General features: G+C 49.8%; 1 protein-coding gene across 7 annotated transcripts in view, besides 3 other annotated features; it reads right to left on the bottom strand.

Annotated features, from left to right (window-relative positions):
* Nucleotides 1–22,495, bottom strand: part of KIAA1671 — a 244,733-nt gene that overhangs the window by 110,571 nt on the left and 111,667 nt on the right. The window contains exon 1 of one of the 7 annotated variants that reach the window (NM_001386935.1): nucleotides 16,462–16,721. The exons of the other annotated variants lie outside the window; for them this stretch is intronic. Coding sequence (NP_001373864.1) covers nucleotides 16,462–16,512 — 51 coding nt within the window. The 5' untranslated portion in view covers nucleotides 16,513–16,721. Of the gene's footprint in view, nucleotides 1–16,461; nucleotides 16,722–22,495 lie in introns of those variants that run through there. 7 annotated transcript variants of the gene reach the window in all.
* Nucleotides 582–876: an enhancer, noted in NCBI's record as "tiled region #10625; HepG2 Activating DNase matched - State 5:Enh". NCBI's record gives its function as "activates a minimal TATA promoter and a strong SV40 promoter by Sharpr-MPRA in HepG2 cells {active_cell/tissue: HepG2}" and the evidence as "EXISTENCE:reporter gene assay evidence [ECO:0000049][PMID:27701403]".
* Nucleotides 16,705–17,255: an enhancer, noted in NCBI's record as "H3K4me1 hESC enhancer chr22:25465590-25466140 (GRCh37/hg19 assembly coordinates)". NCBI's record gives its function as "activates a minimal SCP1, AML or CMV promoter by ChIP-STARR-seq in primed H9 embryonic stem cells {active_cell/tissue: H9 hESC(primed)}" and the evidence as "EXISTENCE:reporter gene assay evidence [ECO:0000049][PMID:30033119]".
* Nucleotides 19,800–20,359: an enhancer, noted in NCBI's record as "H3K4me1 hESC enhancer chr22:25462486-25463045 (GRCh37/hg19 assembly coordinates)". NCBI's record gives its function as "activates a minimal SCP1, AML or CMV promoter by ChIP-STARR-seq in naive H9 embryonic stem cells {active_cell/tissue: H9 hESC(naive)}" and the evidence as "EXISTENCE:reporter gene assay evidence [ECO:0000049][PMID:30033119]".

The following is a 22,495-nucleotide window of genomic DNA, read 5'->3' as shown; positions in this document are numbered from 1 at the left end:
TCAGCCGGCTCTAAATTTAGAACTGCTAACATGGTCAGGAAGAGGGGTCCCTGGGGGTTACTGTTCCACAGCCAGACGGCGCTGGGATTCGGACTGGCGCCTTGGTCACACTCAGAGCCAGCCTGGTGTGGAGAAAATATGGAAACAGCTCTCTGGCCGGCCTTTGGGGGATTTCCTGTCCACCTGTGCAGACCGAACAACAGGAAAAGTCTGCAGTGGGGTTGGGTGGATGGGACGGGGCAGATGGAGATGGGCGAGGTCCACCCAGCTGGGCTTCCCTTCTCAATTCATTCACAGATGGATGCTCCTACAAAGGTCAGGGCAGTGCAGGAAGCATTTGCTAAGCACCTGCTCTATGCCTGGCCCTGCATTAGGATCTGAGGGAAAAGATGAACGAGATACATTCCTCTCCTCAAGAAGTTCATTTATGCACTCACTCACTCCTGCGTTCAGCTCAACACATATTTATTTATTCAGCACCTATTGTGTGCCAAGCCCTGTTCTAGGAAGTGGGGAAACTAATGAGCAAGACATGTCCCTACCCACAAGAACCACTTTTTCACTCACCCACTCATTCGCTCATTCAGATTAACATTTAATGAGCACCTGCTGTGTGCAAGACCTTAAGCTAGGAAGTGGAGAGACAGAGATGAACAAGACATGCTCTCTGAGGATGAAAAGTTTCATTTTCGCATTCATTGTTTTCTTTCACTCTTTCATTCAGTTCTGTAAATGATTAATGAGCACTTGCTGTGTACTCAGCCCTCTGCTAAGCACTGTGCATATAGATATGAAACAAGACACAGCCACTACTGATAGAGTTCACTTCAGTGGTTCATTCATTCATTCAGCATAACATTCATTGATGGAAACTCCTGGATGTCAGGCACTGTGTCACGTGACAGGGATACAAAGATAGGGGCTGTTTCTGCTTGCAAAGAGTCTCACTCATCCATTCATTCTTTCATTCCTCCAGTGCAGTGAGTATTTATTGAGTGCCTACTATGTGTCAGGGACACAGATGTGCATACGAGAGAATCTCTGCTCTTGAACAGCCTTCCTCCCTTCCTCCCTCCCTCCCTCCCTCCCTCCCTTCCTCCCTTCCTTCCTTCACCACTTATCAGTTTGCTTCACTCAACATATATTGGACACTTACTGTCTATCAGGCTGTGCGGAGGCAGAGGAATGAATCCCAGGCCTGGATCTGAAGGAAGTCATAGACACACCAGCTCACACACACAGGGTGAGCATCATTTGGTTCCTGTCAGGGCCATGAGGACCCACCCAATGGTTCCTCAAAAGCTCCCAGCAGCAGGCAACACGTCCCTCCTACAGAGCCGCAGGACGGACAGGGGGTTATGGGGGGGGAGGTGGGGGCCCCTCAGCACACTGGGAGAGAGAAACTGCTGGAAATATACACCAGAGGGAGGGTTTGGTGAGTGAGGTGATTCAGACATCTCAGTGAGGATTTTCAAGAACTCAAGGAATATTCTAAGTTCAGAGGAGGAAGAGAAAAAGATCGGCCCACGTCTTCTGACTGTGGCATACTCAACACCAAACTGCCAGCAGCAGTGTTGGTTCCCCTTGGCTCCTCTGCCCTCCCAGGCCAAATGCCTGCCAGGAAAACAATGGCTTTGAATCGGCTGCTGAGAGGACTGAGAAAAGCGTCCACATGAAGTCCCTGGCACAGTGCCCAGCACAGAGTAGGTGCTCAGTGAATGTCACCTGGGCACATCTGATCTACTGCAAGATGCAGTGATTTTGAATGTGGCTACACATTCTCTGCCACTCCTGCCACTGAGAAGGGGGTCCATGTCCCCTCCCCTTGTCACTGCATGGCCCAGCAGAGAACAGAAGTGACGCTATGTAAGTCCTGTGGCTGCAGCCATCATAAAGGGAAGTGTGGCGTTTGCCTTCTTTGCCACAACACTCACTTCCAGAGCCCTAAGCTGCCATGTTGTGAGGAAGCCCACGCCACCAGGAGTGGCCGTGTTTCAGTGCTCTGGTTGACAGTCCCAGGGAAGCCTGGTTTTTGAACCATCACGTGTGCCAAACACATGGGTGAAGAAGACTCTAGATGGTTTTTGAACCATCACATGCACCAAACACATGGGTGAAGAAGACTCTAGATGGTTCTATCACTCAACTGTTCGAGGCTCCCAGCTGACACTCCAGACAGGCAGCAGACACTCTCACTGAGCCCTGCCTAATTTCTGACCCACAGGATCCATGGACATAATGAACAGTGGTTGGTTTGCACTGCTGTTTTGGAGTCGTTTGTTATGGCAACTGATAACTGGCCTGGAGGCATTTCTTCAACAGGTCCCTGCCCTGCACACCCTGCAGAATCTGGGAGGATCAGATAAACCAGAAACCATAAAATACCTTTTATACATTGTCAATTTTTTTTTTTTTTTTTTGAGATAGAGTCTTGCTCTGTCGCTGAGGCTGGAGTGCTTTGGCGCAATCTCCACCTCCCGATTCAAGCGATTCTCCTGCCTCAGCCTCCTGAGTAGCTGGGATTACAGGCGTGCGCCACCATGCCTGGCTAATTTTTGTATTTTTAGTAGAGATGAAGTGTCACCATGTTGGCCAGGTGGTTTCGAACTCCTAACCTCGGTGATCCGCCCGCCTCGGCCTCCCAAAGTGCTGGGATTACAGACGTAAGCCACTGTCAAGTTCTATACACACAGGAGCCACTGGCATTATCTCTCAGGACACAGAGGGGGCTCTGCAGCCTTCCTGACCACACTAAACTTGGCAAACCATAACTAAGGCTGCCACTCCCATCAGTTAGGCTGGGAGACTCTGCAGACTACTGGGACTGACCTGCACTCACGTGGCAGGCCGCCGCTTTGTCCTCAAGACAAGACTTAGGTCATCCCTCCAGGAGGAATGAACTGGAGGACAAAGGCGGCTTTCACTGGGCCCAGGCTGCTCTCGGCAAATAGGGGCGGTCAGGGCAGAGCTGGAAGGGGGTGGCCCCAGGCACTCCCCCCTGGGCAGGTAGCCAAACAGGCCAGGTGGGGCCCAGGCAAGCTGGGGCAGCAGGGGGTCTGGCAAAGGGCTTTCTTCCCTGCTATCTGGGTCTTTTCCAATCTAGGCCTTAACAGGGAGAGGGCAGAGTAAAATGAGGCATGAGGACAGCTTGGTAAATTCAATAGAATGTGGAAAAGGTATCCCTAGGATTAAGGTCAAATTAAAGACATAAACTAACACAGTGCAGGCTCCAGAGTAAGACAGCCTGGGATCAAATCTTGGCTCCACTGTTGACCAGCTGTGTGATCTTCTGCAAGTGAGTTAACCTCTCTGAGCCTTGTTTTCCTTATCTGTAAAATGCACATAATAACAGTGCCTCCCTTCTAAGACTGTTGTGAGGATAAAAAGAAACATTCTAAAGTGCTTTTCCTAGTACCTGGCTGCTATGGACTGAAATATATTCCCCCCAAATTCACATATTGAAGCCCTAACCCCCTAGTACATCAAAGGTGACTATTATTTGAAAATAGGGCCTGTAAAGTTGTGATTAGGTTTAAAATAAGGGTGTTAGGTTGGGCTCTAATCCAATCTGACTGTTAACGTCATTAGAGGAAATCTGGAAACACAGACAGGAGCCCACACACGCAGAGGGAAGATGGTGTAAGGACACAGAGAGAAAGTGGTTATCTGCAAGCCAAGGAGAGAGACCTCAGGAGAAACCACACTTGCCAACACCTTGATCTTGGACTTGTAAACTCCAGAACTGTGAGAAAATACATTTCTTCTGTTTAAGCCATTCAGAAGTCTCTGGTTTTTTAATATGGCAGCCCTGGAAAACTAATACACCAGCACATAGGAGGAGCAAAATAAAAATCTCTGATTACGATATTATTACATTTATATTATAGCAACAAAATATTAGGTCAACATGAACATGCCTATATTTTATTAATATAAATGTTTGATATGAAATATTAAAACAATATGAAACACCTGCAGTTGTATGTCCCTGCCTCAGAATTTCTATATAAAATATCAGGTGTTTTTTGTTTTTTTGTTCTTTAGAGAGACAGAGTCTTGCTCTGTCACCCAGGCTGGAGTGCAGTGGCACAACCATAGCTCACTACAGCCTCCAACTCCTGGGTTCAAGTGATCCTCCTGCCTAGCCTCTTGAGTAGCTGAGACTTGAAAGCATGCACCTCCACGCCCAGCTAATTTTTAAATTTTCTGTAGAGACAGGGTCTTGCTATGTTACCCAGGCTGGTCTCTAACTCCTGGGTTCAAGTGATCCTCCCACCTGGGCCTCCCAAGGTTCTGAGATTACAGGCATGAGCCACCAGGCCTGGCCAACATCAGGTTTTCTTAAACTGTAATAATTCAGACCAAATTCCTTGAAAACCTTGTCATCCATGCATTACTGAACCACTGAAATGGTTACATTGTGTCCTCTGGGCTCCAATCACAGTGATAAAATCAATGACACCCTCAAATCTCCCACTTCCTCCAGAGGTGCCTGGCCTCTGCGCATTGTGGTTCAGCCTCTTGGATGCCCATCTTCTCTTGTCCTACTCAGGTGTTAAGACCCAGCTCAGGCCTAGTTCAGGGTAGGCACTCAATACACGTGCACGGCAAGCCAACTATGAGATAAGTTAATGCATTTCAACAAAGAAGATGCTGGGCCCAGAGGGGGTGGTGGCTGGCACAAGGTCACAGTATCCTGGCTCCACACTCATCAACTCTGTCTCAAACACAGAAACCACATGTCCACTCAGCTTGAAACCCCCAAATCTGAGTCCTTTTTCAGCTCTGGAAAATCCATTTGCCTACCAGCAGCAAACAGTGCGGGTAGAGGGCACGGAGAGGGCATCAACCTGCATCAAGCCTTCCATAGCTCACTGTAGCTTCCAACTCCTGGGCTTAGGTGATCCTCCTGCCTCAGCCTCCCCAGTAGCTGGAAATATAGACATGCACTACCCAGCGGGGTAATTTTTACATTTTTTGTAGAGATGGAGTCTTGCTATGTTGCCCAGGCTGGTCTGGAACTCCAAGGCCTCAAATGATCCTCCCTTCTCCTTCCTTCTTTTTACACTCCACACTATTCTCTCCTGATGTTGGACTTTCCAGAGGCTCTGTGCAACCTTTGGACAAGTCAGGTTTTGCTCGGTGTCCTCATTTGCAAAATTTGGACAGTCAGAACCCCTGCCTCACTGGCTGTTGAGACAGCCACACACACTCAGGTGTGAAAGTGTGTAGCTCTGCACATGCTTAAAAAAAAAAAAGCAGCTGCCCATCTAACCCCTGTTGTTAGAACAGGGGTGCCCTCTAGTGCCTCAATCGAGAAGTCATTCCACCCTCGAGGCAGCCAGCAACTTCTACACTGTGGGTTCAATTCCTCCCTTGGATATGTGGAAAGACAGCACCTACTGTGTGCTAGGTGCTCTCCCCACTGGTCTCCACAATGAAATGCTTACACAATCCTCATTTGAGACAGGGAGTTTCTCATCGTCAGGTGAGACACAAGATCAGAGACACGAAGTCACCTGTTCAATGTCACAGAGCAGCGAGGGCTGGATTAGAACCCACATCTGTCTGACTCTGAAGCTCCACTCCTTACTGGACTCTTAGAATTGGGAGATTGTGCACAGGAAGAAACTTTAAGAGACTCCAGTCCAATCTTTCATTATACCTACAGAGAAACTGAGTCCCAGAGAGGGCAAATAGTTGCTCAGGGTCACATGGCATTTGCATCCTGGAATCCTGGCTCCTAGAAGTATTTTGCCCACATGTCCAGCCCTCCCAAGCTTCTGCCTTGCATTTACGGTTCCTTTCAGCAGTCACGAGATTGGCATGCCCCTTCTAACTGCTCTAAGCCCTGGAATGTCTGACACCCAGCAATGACTGCTTTGGAACAGTTAGGGCTGGGGCCTCAAAGACCTCCATCTGAGAGTGGGGTCCACTTCAGCCTCTCAGGACAAAGCTCCCAACAGCACGGGAAGGTGACTGAGGCCCACCAAGAACCAAAAAGTGGAAGTCTAGGCTTGGGGAGCCATTGTTACCACATGGCTCTCTTTTTATTACTGTAAAAAGCAATCTATTTTACATATGGCAAAGACCCTGTGGACTAACAGGCAGGGCAGTGGTCCTGCTTGGAGGGGCCATAACAGGCAGACAAAGAGTCTGAAATTGGCCAGGTGTGATGGTTCATGCCTGTAATCCCAGTGCTTTGGGAAGCCAAGGTGGGAGGATCACTTGAGCCCAGATGTTCGAGGCTTTAGTGAGCTATGATTGCACCATGGCACTCCAACCTGGGTGACAGAGCCAGGCCCTGTCTCTAAAAAAATAAAAATAAATAAAAAACAAAGAGTCTGAAATTGTCACAGTGAGGAAGGTGCTGAGAGGAGCTGGCCTGGGCTCAGCTGAATTCTCAAACCCTCTAGTGGATGTGAGCAGGGCCTTCTGCTCCAAAGGCTCTGGGTACCTCTTCCTGTAGCTCAGAAATGGTGAGGATTTTCCAAGGGGCTGAGGAATCTCACAACAGGGATTGGTGTTTTAATCCCTGTGTTTTAATCCTTTACAATTCCCCTCCCACCTGAGTATCCCAACAACTCTTAGGCATGGGCAGGGCATGAAAGACCCTTCCCATTGTACAGCTGGGGAAGGGGAGCTACGGGAAGAGGTGGAGAACGTATGCTGACACCGGTATCTAACTGACTTTTCAAACTCAACCAACAAGTGCAAACCTGGGTCCCGATCTGCCCCCAAGACCCTCTACCCTGCAGTTTTCCTAATGAAAGCTGATGACAGCTCCATCTTTTAGCAGATGGCAAACTCTCAGGGTCATCCATGACTCAAGTCTTTCCTATCCCATGTCCAATCCATGAGCACATCCTGGGGCTCAACCTTCCAACTAGATCCAGAATCTGCCCACTTCTCCTTTTCTCCTGCCCCAGTCTGAGCGGCCATCATCTCCCACCTGGACCACTGCAGTGGTTCCTTACTGGTCCCCTTACTTGAGTCTGTTCCCCACATGACAGCCAGAGGGACCTACTCAAAGGCCAAGCTGGGTTGTGTCAGTCCTATTCAAAGGGTCACTCCCCCATGGCTCTGGTGTCCCCAAGCACGAGGCACAGTCCTTAGAGTGACTGCAAGGCCCGGCATGGTCACCTCCCTGCTCTCACTGCCCACTCTCTCCTCTCACCCAGTCTGCTGCAGCCACCGTGGCATCCCTCCTGTTCTGCAAATGTGCCTGTGCATGCTTGGGCCTTAAAGCCTTTGCACTGACTATTCCTGTTTCCCCCCAAGCTCCCCTGGCCTATGCTCTCCCTGCTTCTAAAGTCTCTGTTCAAATGTCACCTTTTTAGAGAGGCAGAGGCCCCACACACCCAAGCCCTCCAGAACCTTCTTACCTGGTTCCTTCTGTCTTTCCCCAGCACAGCCCACCTCCTGACATACTATACAACGTTCTTACACATACCCATTGTTGATTGCCTGAACACCCCACTAGAATGTTAATTCTGGCCGGGCCCCTATAATCACAGGTCCTCAGGAGGCGGAGGCAGGGGAATCATTTGAACCCAGGAGGCGGAGGTTGCAGTGAGCCGAGATGGTGCCATTGCACTCCAGCCTGGGCGACAGAGCGAGACTCCATCTCAAAAAAAAAAAAAAGTTAGTCCCTGGGGCAGGAAACATGGCTGTCTTGTGCACTGATGTATCCCAAACCTTTAGAACAGGGCCTGGTGCATGCAACTGAACTGAACTGAGGACACATCAGGTGCCTAGCACCAGCATCGGCTGCCACCACTTATTCAGCACCTACTGTATGCCTGGCTTTGTTTGCATCGCCTCACTGAGTCCTCAGGCCAACCCACGAGGAAGTTGCTATCAATATTTCTACTCTATAGATGGCAAAACTGAGTTTCTGGGAGGGCTAAGAGATTTGCTCGAGGCCCCATGCTCTATTAATAAGTGGCCCAGTAGGGAATAGAAGCCAGGAGAGACTGACTCCAAGCCCGTTTTTGCCTCCATGACTGGGTCTAAAAAGGCGCCCACAGCTCAAGTCAGATGAAAATCTCTCATGATGCAAACTGTTCCATGGCCCAAACCTCAGGCCCAACTCAAACAGCACAAAAATAGTCAGTTCTTCTATTTCAGCCACAGACATTGCTGAGACAAAGCCAAACCAGACCCTTGGCACAAACTGAAGCCACTATGATCTGAGATTCAGAAGCTGGTAACAGTAATTGCTTACGGTGTGCGTATGGAGTGCCAGGCACTACGATAAGGCCATTTGTCCCCACAATAGCTTTCAACATGTCAGGTCAACAGGGTGGTCCATCAGCCCACATCTATTTTTATTTTTTACTTCTTTTTGAGACAGGGTCTTGCTCTGTCTCCCAGGCTGGGAAGCAGTGGTACAATCCTAGCTTACTGCAGCCTCGAACTCTTGGGCTCAGGTGATCCTTCTGCCTCAGCCTGCTGAGTATTTGAGATTATAGGCGTACACCATTATACTTGGCTATTCAAAAAAAAATTCTTTTGTAGAGACTGAGTATTGCTGTGTTACCCAAGCTGGTCTCAAATTCCTGGGCTCAAGCAATCCTCCCGCTTTGATCTCACAGAGTCTTGGGATTACAGGCGTGAACCACTGCACCTGGCCAGCCCACATCTATTAAGCACCTATTATGTGCCAGGCACTGGGCCAAGGGCTGAGAGTTCAGTGGTAAACACACAAGCAACCTCCCTGCCTGACAGAGACTGCATGTAGTCATCAAATTAGCTTTGGAGTCAGATTTCCAAGTTCAAATCCCAGCTCTGCCCCTGGCCAGCTGTTGCATATCTGGTGGTTACTCAGCCTCTCAGAATCTCAGTTTTCTCTTCGGTAAAATAATAATAAAATCCACCCCTCAGGGCTATTTGTGAGGATTAATCAAGATCCCACACACTGAGGCACTTAGCGTCAAAGAGGATAATATCTTTTGCTGTTTCATGACTATTATTATTACTACTGTCACCTAGAGGTGATTACACGCTGAGTGAGGGCCACAGCCAAATGAACAAGTAGCAAGAGGGTCTGGGGAGAAAACAGTGGAACTAACCACATTTAGATTTTTTCCATTCAAAAATCTGGTCACAGAGTCAAACGTGGGGACATGAAGCTTAGAAACACAATGAAAACCACAGTGATTTCCCATCTCCAGGGAGACCAAGGCATGGAACACGGACCCTGCAGGAGGATCTTAAAAGGGCAGGTGAGGGATCTGCACCTTCCCCAAGAAGCTATCAGAAGCCCCAGCTGGGGTGTCACGCCCCACGGGCCACTCAGCAGTTCCTCACTACACTGAAAGCAGCCACCTCTGCCATGGGAGGCTGGAGTAGAGGAAGCCTGCGAGAGTCAGCCTCACAGACCCTGGGCGGGGCTGGAGAGGCAGCTGGGAAGAGCATGGGACAGGAGGTGGGGGTCCCTGCCATTATATCAGAGCCCTCCCCAGCTCCCAACAAACACCATCTCCATATTAAATGCCCACTCTAAGTCCAGCCCTGTGCCAAGGACACTAATGCCCCTTATTCTTAGCTAATCCTCAGCACAGTTCCTCCAAGGTGGGGCTGACCACTGCCACTTATAGAGAGGGAAACTGATGCCCACAGCCATGATGTGATTTACCAAAAGCCACACACCCAGTAGAGACAGGGCCAGGATTCTAGGCCAGGGTTCTCCCTCCAGAGCCCCGCCTCGCCTAGTGCCACATTCTTCTGTCATCCTCCTCGTTGCAAAGCTTGATATGCATAGAAAGCTTTCCTGTAGGCTGGGAAGTTGCTTCAACACCATGGGCCTCAGTTTCCCCATCTGAGAAACCAGAAGATCAGACTCCACGAAGTAGTAAAAATAATAGAGGGAGAGCTGGGTTCAAATACAGGCTCTAGCACTTCCTAGCCGGGGACCTTGGAGGAGATACCTAGCCTTTCAAGGCCTCAGTTTCCCTAATTGCAAAATGCAGGTAATAATGAGATCAACCCATTGGGGTTCTTATAAGGATATAATGAGACCCCTCTGAAAGGCGTTTAGTACAGGCTCAGGATTTTGTGAGCACTCAGTAGGAGTGGTGGTGGTGATGGTGACTTTTATCATCATATGACTATTGCTTATATCACTAATTACTACTGCTGTAATTGATAACCCCAAGAGAGCAGCTTGATGCCCCTAGCAAGGCCACAGGCCTTGGGACCGTCTGGCGAGGTTATCTCAGCAACAAAGGAGATTAAATAACTCACAACAGCCACACCAGAGGCTGTAGCCCTCAGCTATTCTTACTAATAGTTTGAAAGAGAAACTTAATCTCTCTCCCCATGCCCCAACTGTTGCTGGACCAGCACCAAGCTTGATGGTGATAGTGGTTTCTCCCCCCAGAAGAGAAGTGCAGCTATGAGAAGGACTCAGGCTGCCAACAGGAAGCTAAAAACATCCCACCACCAAGTGACAACTTTGCAGAAAACCTGTTGCAGCCCACGCTTGGCCCCACTTCTAAGAAGCTGACACAGGAGACAGCTCGAAATGTGAATCAAGATTTAAGGCGGGGAACAATTATGCATACAATAAACACCTGGGAATAACCTAAGTTTCCAACCACAAAGAATTGGCTACTAGATTCACCAATCCCTCTTCTGGGTATATATCCAAAGTAAATGAAACCAGTACCCCATAAACCAAGGCTGACAACAGGTAGGAATATTAAGCAGCTATTAAATATCATGGTTACAAACTTTTTAAATAACATGGCAGATTTTTTTATGCTGCCAGTGGACACACAAAAAGATAAGGACTGACAGGCTGGGTGCAGTGGCTCACGCCTGTAATCCCAGCATTTTGGGAGGCCAAGGCGGGTGGATCACCTGAGGTCAGGAGTTCGAGACGAGCCTGGCTAACACAGTGAAACCCCATCTCTACTAAAAATACAAAAATTAGCCGGGCATGGTGGCAGGCGCCTGTAATCCCAGCTACTCGGGAGGCTGAGGCAGGAGAATCGCTTGAACCCGGGAGGAGGAGGTTGCAGTGAGTCGAGATCGCGCCACTGCACTCCAGCCTGGGAACAAGAGTGAGACTTTGTCTCAAAAAAAAAAAAAAAGATGCGCACTGATGACTGGGTGCAGTGCTCACGCCTGTAATCCTGGCACTTTGGGAGATAGAGACCATCCTGGCTAACACGGTGAAACCCCATCTCTACTAAAAATAAAAATACAAAAAATTAGCTGGGTGTGGTAGCACGTGCCTGTAGTCCCAGCTACTTGGGAGGCTGAGGCAGGAGAATCGCTTGAACCCAGGAGGCAGAGGTTGCAGTGAGCCGAGATCACGCCACTGCACTCCAGCCTGGGTGACAGAGACTCCATCTCAAAAAAAAAAAGATGCGCACTGATTCACTCATTCAGCTGGCAGTGATGAGGCCCTACTAGGGATGAAACTAAAAGCGAAAAAATACAATGTGGGACCCTGAACTAGATCCTGGAACCAAAAAAGAACATTCGTGACAAAACTGGTGAAAGTAGAATAAGACAAGGTTTCTCAGCCTTGTCACAATTGACACTTTGGCCAGGATCATTCTTGGTGCTGTCGAGGGGAGGGGAGGGAAGGACCTGTCCTGTGCGTTATAGGATGTAAAGCAGCATCCTTGGTGTCTACCCACCATATGCCAGTAGCACCCCTGTCCTCAGCTGTGACAATCAAACATGTCTCCAGACATTGCCAAATGTCCCTTGCAGGGGAAAATCACCCCCACTGGAATTTAGTCTGGAGTTTAGTTCACAGTAATGCACCAATGTTAACTTCTTTCTTTTGATAACTGAACCATGGTTATAGTAACATGCTAACATTAGGGGAACCGGGCGAAGGGTATACAGGAACTCCCGCTACTATCTTTGTAACTTTTCTCAAGTATTCTAAAATAAGTTGTTACGTAAAATAGTATGATAGTTCCTCAAAAAACTGAGAATAGATCCACCAATCCCTCTTCTGGGCATATACCCAAAGGAAATGAAACCAGTATCCCATAAAGATATCTGCACTCCCATGCTCCAATGTAGCATCTTCACAATAGCCAAGAGGTGGACACACCCGAAGTGTCCAGTTGCAGATGAATGGATAAAGAAACTGTGGCATGTATAGTTGTATAGTTGGACAGACAGACAGACAGATAGATGATAAATATACTTGTGAACCACAGAATTCAAAAATACAGATTATCAGAGACTTTTCTTCTTTGTACTCATCTGAATTTTCCATGTTTCATGGACACATGTTTCCATATATATATATACACGCACACACACACATATGCATATATACATATATATACACATATACATATATATATGCCTCAATTTCTTTCTTTCTTTTTTTTTTTTTTTTTTTTTGAGACACAGCCTTGCTCAGGCTGGAGTGCAGAGGTGTGATCTTGGCTCACTGCAACCTCCGGCTCCCAAGTTCAAGCAATTCTCCTGCCTCAGCCTCCCGAGTAGCTGGGACTACAGGCACACACCACCATGCCCAACTAATTTTTGTATTTTTAGTGTAGATGTGGTTTCACCATGTTGACCAGGCTGGTCTCAAACTTCTGACTTCAAGTGATCCACCCTCCTTGGCCTCCCAAAGCGCTGGTATTACAGGCATGAGCCACCCCTCAATTTCTTTATGTATATATATTCAATAATATATATATATCCTCTCTATATATATCTACACATACACACAACAGATTATACAGCCTTTAAAAAGTAGAAGATCGTGTTATTTGCAACATGATTGAACCTGGAAGACCTAAGTGAAATAAGCCGGGCACAGAAAGACAAAATACTACATGCTCTCACTTATATGTGGAATCTAAAATAGTCAAATACATAAAAACAAAATGGGGCAGGACTGGGCGCAGTGGCTCATGCCTGTAATCCCAGCACTTTGGGAGGCCCAGGCGGGCAGATCACCTGAGGTCAGGAGTTTGAGACCAGCCTGACCAATATGGTGAAACCCCGTCCCTATTAAAAATACAAAAATTAGCCAGGCATGGTGGCACGCACCTGTAGTCTCAGCGACTCGGGAGGCTGAGACAGAATTGCTTGAACCTGGGAGGCAGAGGTTGCAGTGAGCCAAGATCATGCCACTGCACTCCTGCGTGGGCAACAGAGCAAGACTACCTAAAAAACAAACAAACCCAGAATGGGGCAGAGGGGTGTAGGGGGAGGAATGGAAAGATGTTAAAGGGTACAAAGTTGCAGTTCTAAAGGATGAGTATGTCTAGAGACCTGAAGCATAGTGACTATAGTTAATGGTATTGTATTATATACTGGAAATTTGTTGAGAGAGTAGATCTCAGGTGCTCTTACCAGTCTATAAATAAAAGGTGACTATGAGAGGAGATAGGTATGTTAATTTGCTTGACTGCAGTACTAATTTCACTATGTATATGTATATATACCAAAACATCTGGTTGCACACTTTAAATGTATACAACATTTTAAAATTTATTTAAAACTTTAAAAATTTGCAGGCTGGGTATGGTGGCTCACGCCTGTAGTCCCAGCACTTTGGGAGGCTGAGGTGGGAGGATCGCTTGAGCTCCAGAGTTTAAGACAAGCCTGGGCAACATAGTGAGGCCACATCTCTATAAAAAGTTAAAAAATTAGCTGGGCATGATGGCACGCACCTGTAGTCCCAGCTACTCTGGAGGCTGAGGTGGGAGGATCACTTGAGCTCAGGAGGACAAGGCTGCAGTGAGCTATGATCATTCACTGCACTGCAGCCTGGGTGACAGAGTGAGACCCTATCTCTAAAAACAGACAAACAAAAAGGTAGAATAACAGGACAAAGAATGCAGAAGGGAAGGGGGTCATTCACCAGGGAAGACCCTAGTGAATGGGCAACATTACCAGGGCCCAGGGGCAGTGAGGAGGGGCCCATGCTGAAGAAATGATGGATGAACGCATGTTCAAGCTATGCGAAGCTACAGGAGTGGCAGGGGAGCGAGCACCTCCACCTGGCTCTCTGCAATTATTCCTGGTTAGCTGGTCACCAAATCTGACGGTGGCCTCCTGGGAAGCAGGAGGAACTGACATTCTGGGAGCAGCTTCTAGGTTTCAGAAATGAGCTAGAGAATTCAAAGGAATTGCCCCAAGAAGCAAATCAGGAAGGCAGCGGGGCCTCGCTTTGCAGATGAGGAAGCTGAAGTTTGGGAAGCTGAAATGGACTTCCCAAGGCCACGGGGCTTCCTCAGAATCCAGGTCCACATTCCCAAGCTTCCTTGAGAGGTCAAGCAAGAGTTTCCAGTTTAGAAGTGCAGACACCTGGGCTAATCTAAGATCCCGGTCTTGTTAACACGTGTGCCAGGCTGTCTTCAGTGACTCAGAGAGACAGAGAAATTGTGGGTAATTTGCAAAACCAGCGGTGGGCCTATGTGGCTCCTCACTCCCCCAGGACCTGGTCACCCACAGAAAGCAGCGGACAAATGAAAATCTCTCTCATTATCACATCTAGGAAAGACTTTCTAAACTGCCTCATCCTACCTCTTCATGGTCCAGATGGGGAAACCAAGGCCCAGAGAGGAAAAGACTTGCCCAAGGTCACTAGAGAGGTGGGACACAGCCAGGTGAGGAGCTGTGACTCTGTCACTCCACAAAGCTGCCCCTAGGAGGCTGAGGGCATTACTGCCCAGCCTCTACTGGCCAGGATGAGCTTAGGCCAGTACCTGGAATGTACCATGGGCATGCCATGGGCTCTTGCTCTTTCTGACATCCACCCCAGCCCTTTGCACATGCTGTTCCCTCTGCCTGGCACACACTTCCCTGGACCCCTACCCTAGCATCAACTGCCAGCTCCTAGGCATCCTCCAGCACTCAGCTTCCTTGGGGAGGCTCTCCTGGCCCCTGCACCCCAACGAGACCATATCCCTTGAGGCACTGTGCACCACCCCCATCCTAACACATACATGGTCCTTGTTTCAGTTCCTTGAGCAAAGTCCAAATTCTCACCAGACTAAGTTCCATGCGGTCAGGGGACCATGCCGTCTTGCTCCTATATTCCAAGTATCTGGCGCTAGCTCCAAACTACTGCTGGTAAGTGTGTGCTGAATGAACATGAGATCGTAGCCATTTGTCAATGAGTTCAACACCTATGCCAAGCTCTAAGTTCTGGGGACCGTGGACTGTATCTTAGTCATCTCTGCATCTCCAGCATGGAGCCCAGAGCCCAACACGCAGCCAGGCACATCAAGGTTATCCAGACCTTGCAAACCACACAATTCAAAAATACGATTATTGGAGACTTCTTTTCTTCTTTGTGCCTGTCTGAATTTTCCATATCTTTTTACCATGCACATGCATTATTTTTGTAATTAAAACATCAATCAATCAATCAATCAATGTTGCCTTACATTTATTATATAAGAATGTTCATAGGCCAATGATTGAACAATATGGACTGGGGGGATCTCCTGTTTCCCCACTGCTCTGGGGGGCTCAGGAGGGAGGTGAGACACTCTGGGACTGGCGGCTAAAAGGCAATGTTTCCTAAAGTTGTATTTTTAGGAGCGCTGGAAAATTCTCTGGGCAAGAAGGCATCTGAAGTATTTGCAAACACTCAGCAATGGGAAAGATAATATTTCCTAAGACTTTCCCTTTTGGGTGTGCTGAAACCAGTGGCAAATATTCTGGAAAACTCTGAGACCAGCCCATGACAATTCTTCGGTAAGTCCCTCTATTCCCAGAGCCCTGATGGATGTCACACAACCCAGAATCACCTACACCCACTCCTTATTTCACAGAGGAGGAAACAGAAACCCAGAGAGGAGAAGTAACTTGCCCAGGCACAGAAAACAGACCAGTTGCGAAGTCAAAGTGAGACCTGAAAGCATTTTATACCTCACAAAGCACTTCTGCACAGCTTCCCTGACTTTGGCATTTCATCAGAAAATGTTCTGGTTTTTTTCCTCTGTTATCCAGAGGAGACAGCACAGTGTGAGTGTTAGTGGGGAAGGGGTCCCAACTTCTTCTATCACTGTGTAGGTTCAGGAAAAGGAAAGCAAAATCTATTATTTTCATCCCATAGAAGACAGACATTCTTACACACACAGAGGCAAGAGGGATGTAATTTCAGAATAAAGAATAGTCCTTTAAATCAAATAAATGTTGCTTTCTGAAAAACTCACTGAAGTGGTTCTCGTTCTTCCTGTTTTCTTGAGGACTGGAGGAAAGCCCACATCGGATCCAGGATCTTCATTCCTGTTCAGGAGTCTCAGCTCTTCCTACAAACCTGTGCTACCTCCCAAACCAAGCCCGTTTCCTTTTTCCCCAACATTCTCTCTTCCTTGTAACCTCCACCATTTCTTAAAGAAAACAGAGACATTGCTAACCAGACACAGCCAAAAAGCAAAGTTGACAGGAAGCAGGAGGAGAGGGAAAGGACGTGACCCCGTCCTGGAGCCTGCACTGCCCCCCGCCACTCACCCAGAGGTAGCGCAAGAGCTTCAGCAGGCTGGGGCAGTAGTAATACTCCATTTCCAGCACCCAGAGGTTATGTGGTGAGCACAGTACGGTTTCCAGCTTTCCTCTAGCGGGAGCGGCTCTTCTCACTCCTGTCACGCTGGAGTCAAGTTCAAGGCGGCATAAATCATTCAGAAGCCGGCTCACGGCCAGGGGACCAGCCAGTCGGCTCCACTAATGGCCACGGCTGCCTGGGGAACTGAGAAGCCACCACTCGGTCCTATGAGCCCCGCCCGGGGCATCTCTGGCTTCTCGTCCAGTGGGGCGGGTCCAGGGGTGGATCCTTCTGAACCCAGCTGCCTGGACCCTCACCCTCCCGGGAGCCGTAGGCACGGAGGGTTTTAGGGTTTTCAGTTGTACGGCAAGAAGGCAAGAAGAGAGAAGGTGATGCCCGGGAACTGAATGTGTGCACGCGTGTGTGTGTGTGTTTATGCATGAAGGAGTGTGTGTGTACATGCTTTTACGTGGAGTCAAGTATGTGTGCATGTGTGCATACGAGTGTGTTTTGTGCATGTGTGGACTGACTGTGTGCTGTGCGTGTGAGCCCAAATGTATGTGGTTCCTCCTCCCCAAACCACATGAGGAGAAGGAGGCCCTGCCACTCGTTACAGGGAAGGAAATCAACTCAGGATCCCATTGGTTTACCGGGCTCCTTTGATGTCAGTCATGTTCCTTTTAAACTCAGCTAAGCTTCTGATCCCCCCAGAAGGAGGGTGTGGCCATCCCCATTTTACAGAGAGGAAAACCGAGGCCCAGAGAAGTCAAGGGACTTGGCCAAGGTCACGCGGTGAGTTGGTAGCTAAAGCAAGGCTGGAACCCAGGCCTCCCAGCCATGATTCCTGGGCCCGTCCACTCCTGTGGACACCCAGCCCAGCATGGGGAGTGGGGTGCTGGCAAAGGGAGGGATCAGCTCCCTGAGGCACCAGCTGCCAGCTGCACCAGGTGGGGAGTGAGGAGAATGTCAATTTTCAGAGATTAAAATGCAATAAAAGCACACCTCGGGCAAATCCAAGGCAAACTTTCCCAGATGTTTCCTTCAAAAGAGCATGATTTTAGCAAGTCACCTCATCCTCCTGAGCCTCAGTTACCCCTTCTGTAAAATGCGACAAATTATCCCTGTGTTCAGGGCTTTGAGGATTCAACAAGGTAGAATCCTGCCAAACCATCTAGTTTAGTTTTCATGGTCATATCATGAGGGCAGTATCATCACTTCTACTGTCCAGATGAGGAAACCAAAACTCACAGGGTCAAAAGAGGTTCCTGAGGTGAGCAGCAGCTAAACAGTGAGACAGGGATTCAAATACAAGCCAGACGCTCCTGGATCCCCTACTCAACACCTGCTCCTCATAAGCCGAGGCCATAACCCAGAGACTCCGGCAAGTGAGCGCCGGATGCAAGACAGCTGTGCTTCTGAGGCAAGGTCCTTCTCACTGCTGAGAGGGGAAAACTGAGGCGGGGGAGGTGTTCACAGAGGCACCAGGCAGAGGCCCTGGGTTCTGCACCAGGCTCCCGCCCCCAGGCTGGAGCTTGGCACACTGACTGCCCCAGCAACATCCTGGGCCCATCTGTGCTGCATCCTTCAGCCTCACCACTGGACACCAGGCAGAGCATCTAACAGGAAACTCACTTAAATAAGGAGAGGGTGGGCTGGGCACGGTGGCTCACGCCTGTAATCCCAGAACTTTGGGAGGCCAAGGTGGGCAGATCATGAGGTCAGGAGATCGAGACCATCCTGGCTAACACGGTGAAACCCCGTCTCTACTAAAAATATAAAAAATTAGCCGGCCGCGGAGGCGGGCGCCTGTAGTCCCAGCTACTCGGGAGGCTGAGGCAGGAGAATGGCGTGAACCCGGTAGGCGGAGCTTGCAGTGAGCCGAGATCGTGCCACTGCACTCCAGCCTGGGTGACAGAGTGAGGCTCTGTCTCAAAAAAAAAAACAACAAAAAAACAAAAAACAAGGAGAGGGTGCTGGGTGCAGCAGCTGAGAAAACCACGGGGTAGCTTCAAAGCTCTTCAGAGGCAGGCCTGTGGTTTCATTGATTCTCAGCGCCCCACTCCCAGCAGGCACTGGGTCTCAGCTGCTCGCTGCCTGACAAGTCAGGGGTTGGCCCCAGCGATGGCAGAGCCAGGGACTGGCAGCACAGTCAGAAGGCCGGCCCTGCTCCCTGATGGCACAGTCGGAAGGCTGGCCCTGCTCCCTGACGGCACAGTCGGAAGGCCGGCCCTGCTCCCTAACTGCCAGACAGTACAGCTGAAAAGCCAGCCCTGCTCACCAGCTGACAGTACCAGTCAGAGGACAGCCCCAGCTGACAGCATAGCCAGAGCACTGGGTCCTGCTGACCGACAAAAGTGCAGCAAAAGGGCTGGTTCCTCTGCACTGGCGGCACCGCTGGAGGGATGATGCCAGCTGCCTGGCTGTACCCCTGGCGCTGCGTGTCCTGGCTGACTGGCTGATGAGTGTCAAGTCTGGGGTTAGGCCCCGCTAACTGAGGGATTAATAGAAGTGGGGCATGCAGCGCTCGCGGCTGCCCTACTGAATGACTGTTGCCATAAACACAGGGGCCCGCCAGGGCCTTTCTGACACCCCTTGGCTGACAGGGGCCACAGTCAGCATGGAGGCTGCTAAGGGTTGACTGTCTGGTCTCCTATCAGCCCAGGACAGAGAAATGCCCGGAGAGAAAGGGGCTGGAAGGAGGCAGACAGGATGCCAGAGACAGGCGGGATGGAGAGAGGAAGAGAGGATGGCAGGCCAGGCGCAGGGCAGAGGGAGGAAGGTGGGAGGAAGGAGAAGGAAGTTACAGGCAGGAAAGGCATGAGACAGGGAGGGAAGGGCAAGACAGGGAACACAGAGGGTGAAAGGAGAAAAAGAGAAAGACGAGAGACATGGAGGGAGAGGAGAGGGAGATGGGTGGGGTAGGGGTTCTGATGGGAGAGCGACAGGCAGGGCAAGGGATGAACCCCAAAGGAAGTCAGAGAAAGTAAGCCAGACTGATGGCCCGGGAGGCGGGCAGGGACAAAGAGCACCAGGAACAGCCGGGGAGAAAGCTGGAGGTGGCAGTGACAATGGTGACAGGGCAGGGGGCTAAGAATAAAAAGAGACGTTCAAAGGTCCAAGACCCGGCGAGTCCAAGGTGGAGACAGAGCCAATCTAGGACCAGGTGGGGGGTGTGGGGAGGGGAGCACCGCTGGGCAGGTGCCAACAATGGAGACCCCCAAGTCCCCATCTCCCAACCAGAGGTGGTCAGACGCACCAGGGCACACCCCCAGGAGAAGCTGCCCCCAGTGCCCAGTCCTGGTTATCCTGCTCTGGCCGCCCTGACCACCACCCTGACCCGTGGGCCGAGGCAGCCCGGGGAGTGTGGCTGCATCAGAAGTCAGAGGCTGACGAAGTGGAACAGTGTCCTCTCTTCCCGCCCCCAGGGGCCCTTCTCCATGGCAGGGGGCCACCTGCAAGCACAGATGTGACCGAGGCACTCCACACACACATCTTAGATGCTTTCCTTGCTTCCTCATCACTCTTGGGAGAAAATCCAACCTGTTCCCTCCCACCCCAGGCCCCTGTGCACCTCCCACCACTTGACCCCACCCTGTGAGCCAGGCACCCATAAAGACTTTGCCCATGCTGTCGAAAGTAGGCTTCCTCCCCTAAGTGGGTTGAATGGAGACCCCTAAAAACATATGTCCACCTAGAACCTGCAAATGCGACCATATTTGGAAATGGTCTTTGCAGATGTCGAGGTTAAGGGTCATGAGGTGAGATCAGCCTGGATTCTCCAGGGCTATGGTTTGAATGTATGTGTTTCTCCAAAATTCATCAGCTGGAACTTAATTCCCAAGATGAGGGTGTTAAGAAATGGAACACTTGAGAGGTGATTAGGCCATGACAGCTCCACCCTCATGAGTGGAACTGATGCCCATATAAAAGGGCTTGAGGTCAGGCATGGTGGCTCACCCCTGTAATTCCAACATTTTGGAAGGCTGAGGTGGGAGGATCGTTTGAGGTGAGAAGTTCAAGACCAGCTTGGGCAACATCATAAGACCCTGTGTCTATAAAAAATGGAAAACTTAGCCTGGTGTGGTGGTGTGTGCCTGTAGTCTCAGCTACTCAGGAGGCTGAGGTAGGAGGATTGCTCAAGCCCAAGAGTTTGAGGCTGCAGTGAACTATGATTGCAATACTGCACTCCAGCCTGGATGACAGAGCCAGACCCTGTCTTTAAAAACAGTAATAAAAATAATTTTAAAACAAAAATAAAAGGGCTTGAAGGGGTGAGCTCACCCCTTCCATCCCCTCCCTCATTTCCACATGAGAAAACCTAGACAACACCATCTACAAGCAAGCAGGTCCTTGCCAGAAACCAAACCTGCTGGCACCTTGATCCTGGACTTCCCAGCCTCCAGAACTGTGAGAAATACATCTCTGTTTCTTTAAAGTACCCAGTCTCGATCAGGCGCAGTGGCTCACACTTGTAATACCAGCATTTTGTGAGGCCAAGGCAGGAGGATCACAAGGTCAGGAGTTCAAGACCAACCTGGACAATATGTTGAAACCCCGTCTCTACTAAAAAGTACAAAAATTAGCCGGGCGTGGTGGCAGGCACCTATAATCCCACCTACTCGGGAGGCTGAGGCAGGAGAATCGCTTGAATCCGGGAGGTGGAGGTTGCAGTAAGCCGAGATCGCACCACTGCACTCCAGCCTGGGCGACGAGCGAGACTGTCTCAAAAAAAAAAAAATAATAATAATAATAATAATTCTTTAAAAAAAGTTGAAAAATGGTAGTCCCCTTAGACATAATTTTGTTTGAGTGTTGTTTTTCTTTTTTGGGGGGAAAGAGGAAGGTGGTGCACCATTTTGTTTGAATTAGTTACTAACCAACATTTAAACATCAGAAGACTCGCATGTAGCAAGGCCATCTTCCAGCCTGTGAGAAGTGGCCCGCATTCCTATGTGGGGACGGGGCAGGAATGGCATGTGCCACCTGAGGAATGGCTCAGTGACATTCCTCCCACATCCCACAGCCCAGACATCCGAAATACTACTCTCCAGGACCCCAGGCGGCCACCCATTCCTCATGCTCTCCCTGTGGGCCTACTGTATGCCAGGCCCTGCTTTGGGAACTGACACCCTTTTTTTTCAGGTGCTCAGCCCCACCAGCACGTCATCCATCATCAATGCGTCTGTGGCCAGCAGCCTTGATTCCTGGCTCAGCCTTCAACACCCTTCACCATACAGCCGCCGCTTGCTGCCTCGCCAAACCAGCGCTCAAGCACACGTGGCTGCTCAGCCTCCCTGCCTATGCTCAGGCAGTGCCCTCTGCCAGGAATTCCTTTTCCTTCTGTGGACGTTCAACCATCTTTTAAACCTAATGCCAACGGCAAAAAATGAGTCACTGCGCCCTCTCTTCGGGTACAGTAGGATGTGCTGGGTGAGGATGGCCTGTCTTCCTCACAGGGCTGGGAGCTCCCCATGGGCAGAGCCTGGGTCCCAGGTTATCTCTGTGGTCTCGGGGCCTGGCACCAGCCAAGGGTTTAGTAGGTCCTCTGTAACTGTTCCCCAAAAGGCAGAGAATTCCCAGTTGTCCCAGCACCAGTCTTGCTCACAATGAAATCATCTTTAGATCTAGGCATGAAGATGGCAGACCCACTGTGTGCACTGCATTGTCGGCCACCAAAGGGGACCCAGGGAAGCCAGACATGTGCCCATCTTCAAGCAGTTTGTGATTCCCTGAAAGGTCAGGGCGCAGACAGAACAGGTTCCCAAAGAGGGAAACTGAGGACTAGGGAGAGGATGAGGTGTCTTATTACAGAGGCATCCCTGGGCCCAGGGGAAGGGTGTGGATGGAGTTAGATTGCCTCATTCCCACACTTGCTAGCTGGTTAATCTCTCTGGGCCCCCACTCCTTCACGTAAAATAAGGATGATGACAGTGCCTGCCCCCGCAGGGTCGCTGGGAGGCATGAATGAGGTACTACGTACAAAGTGTTCAGAATCCAGTACAC

Source organism: Homo sapiens, chromosome 22, assembly GCF_000001405.40.
Source record: "Homo sapiens chromosome 22, GRCh38.p14 Primary Assembly".
Taxonomy (NCBI): Eukaryota; Metazoa; Chordata; class Mammalia; order Primates; family Hominidae; genus Homo; species Homo sapiens.
This window is presented reverse-complemented; position numbering and strand designations above follow the sequence as displayed.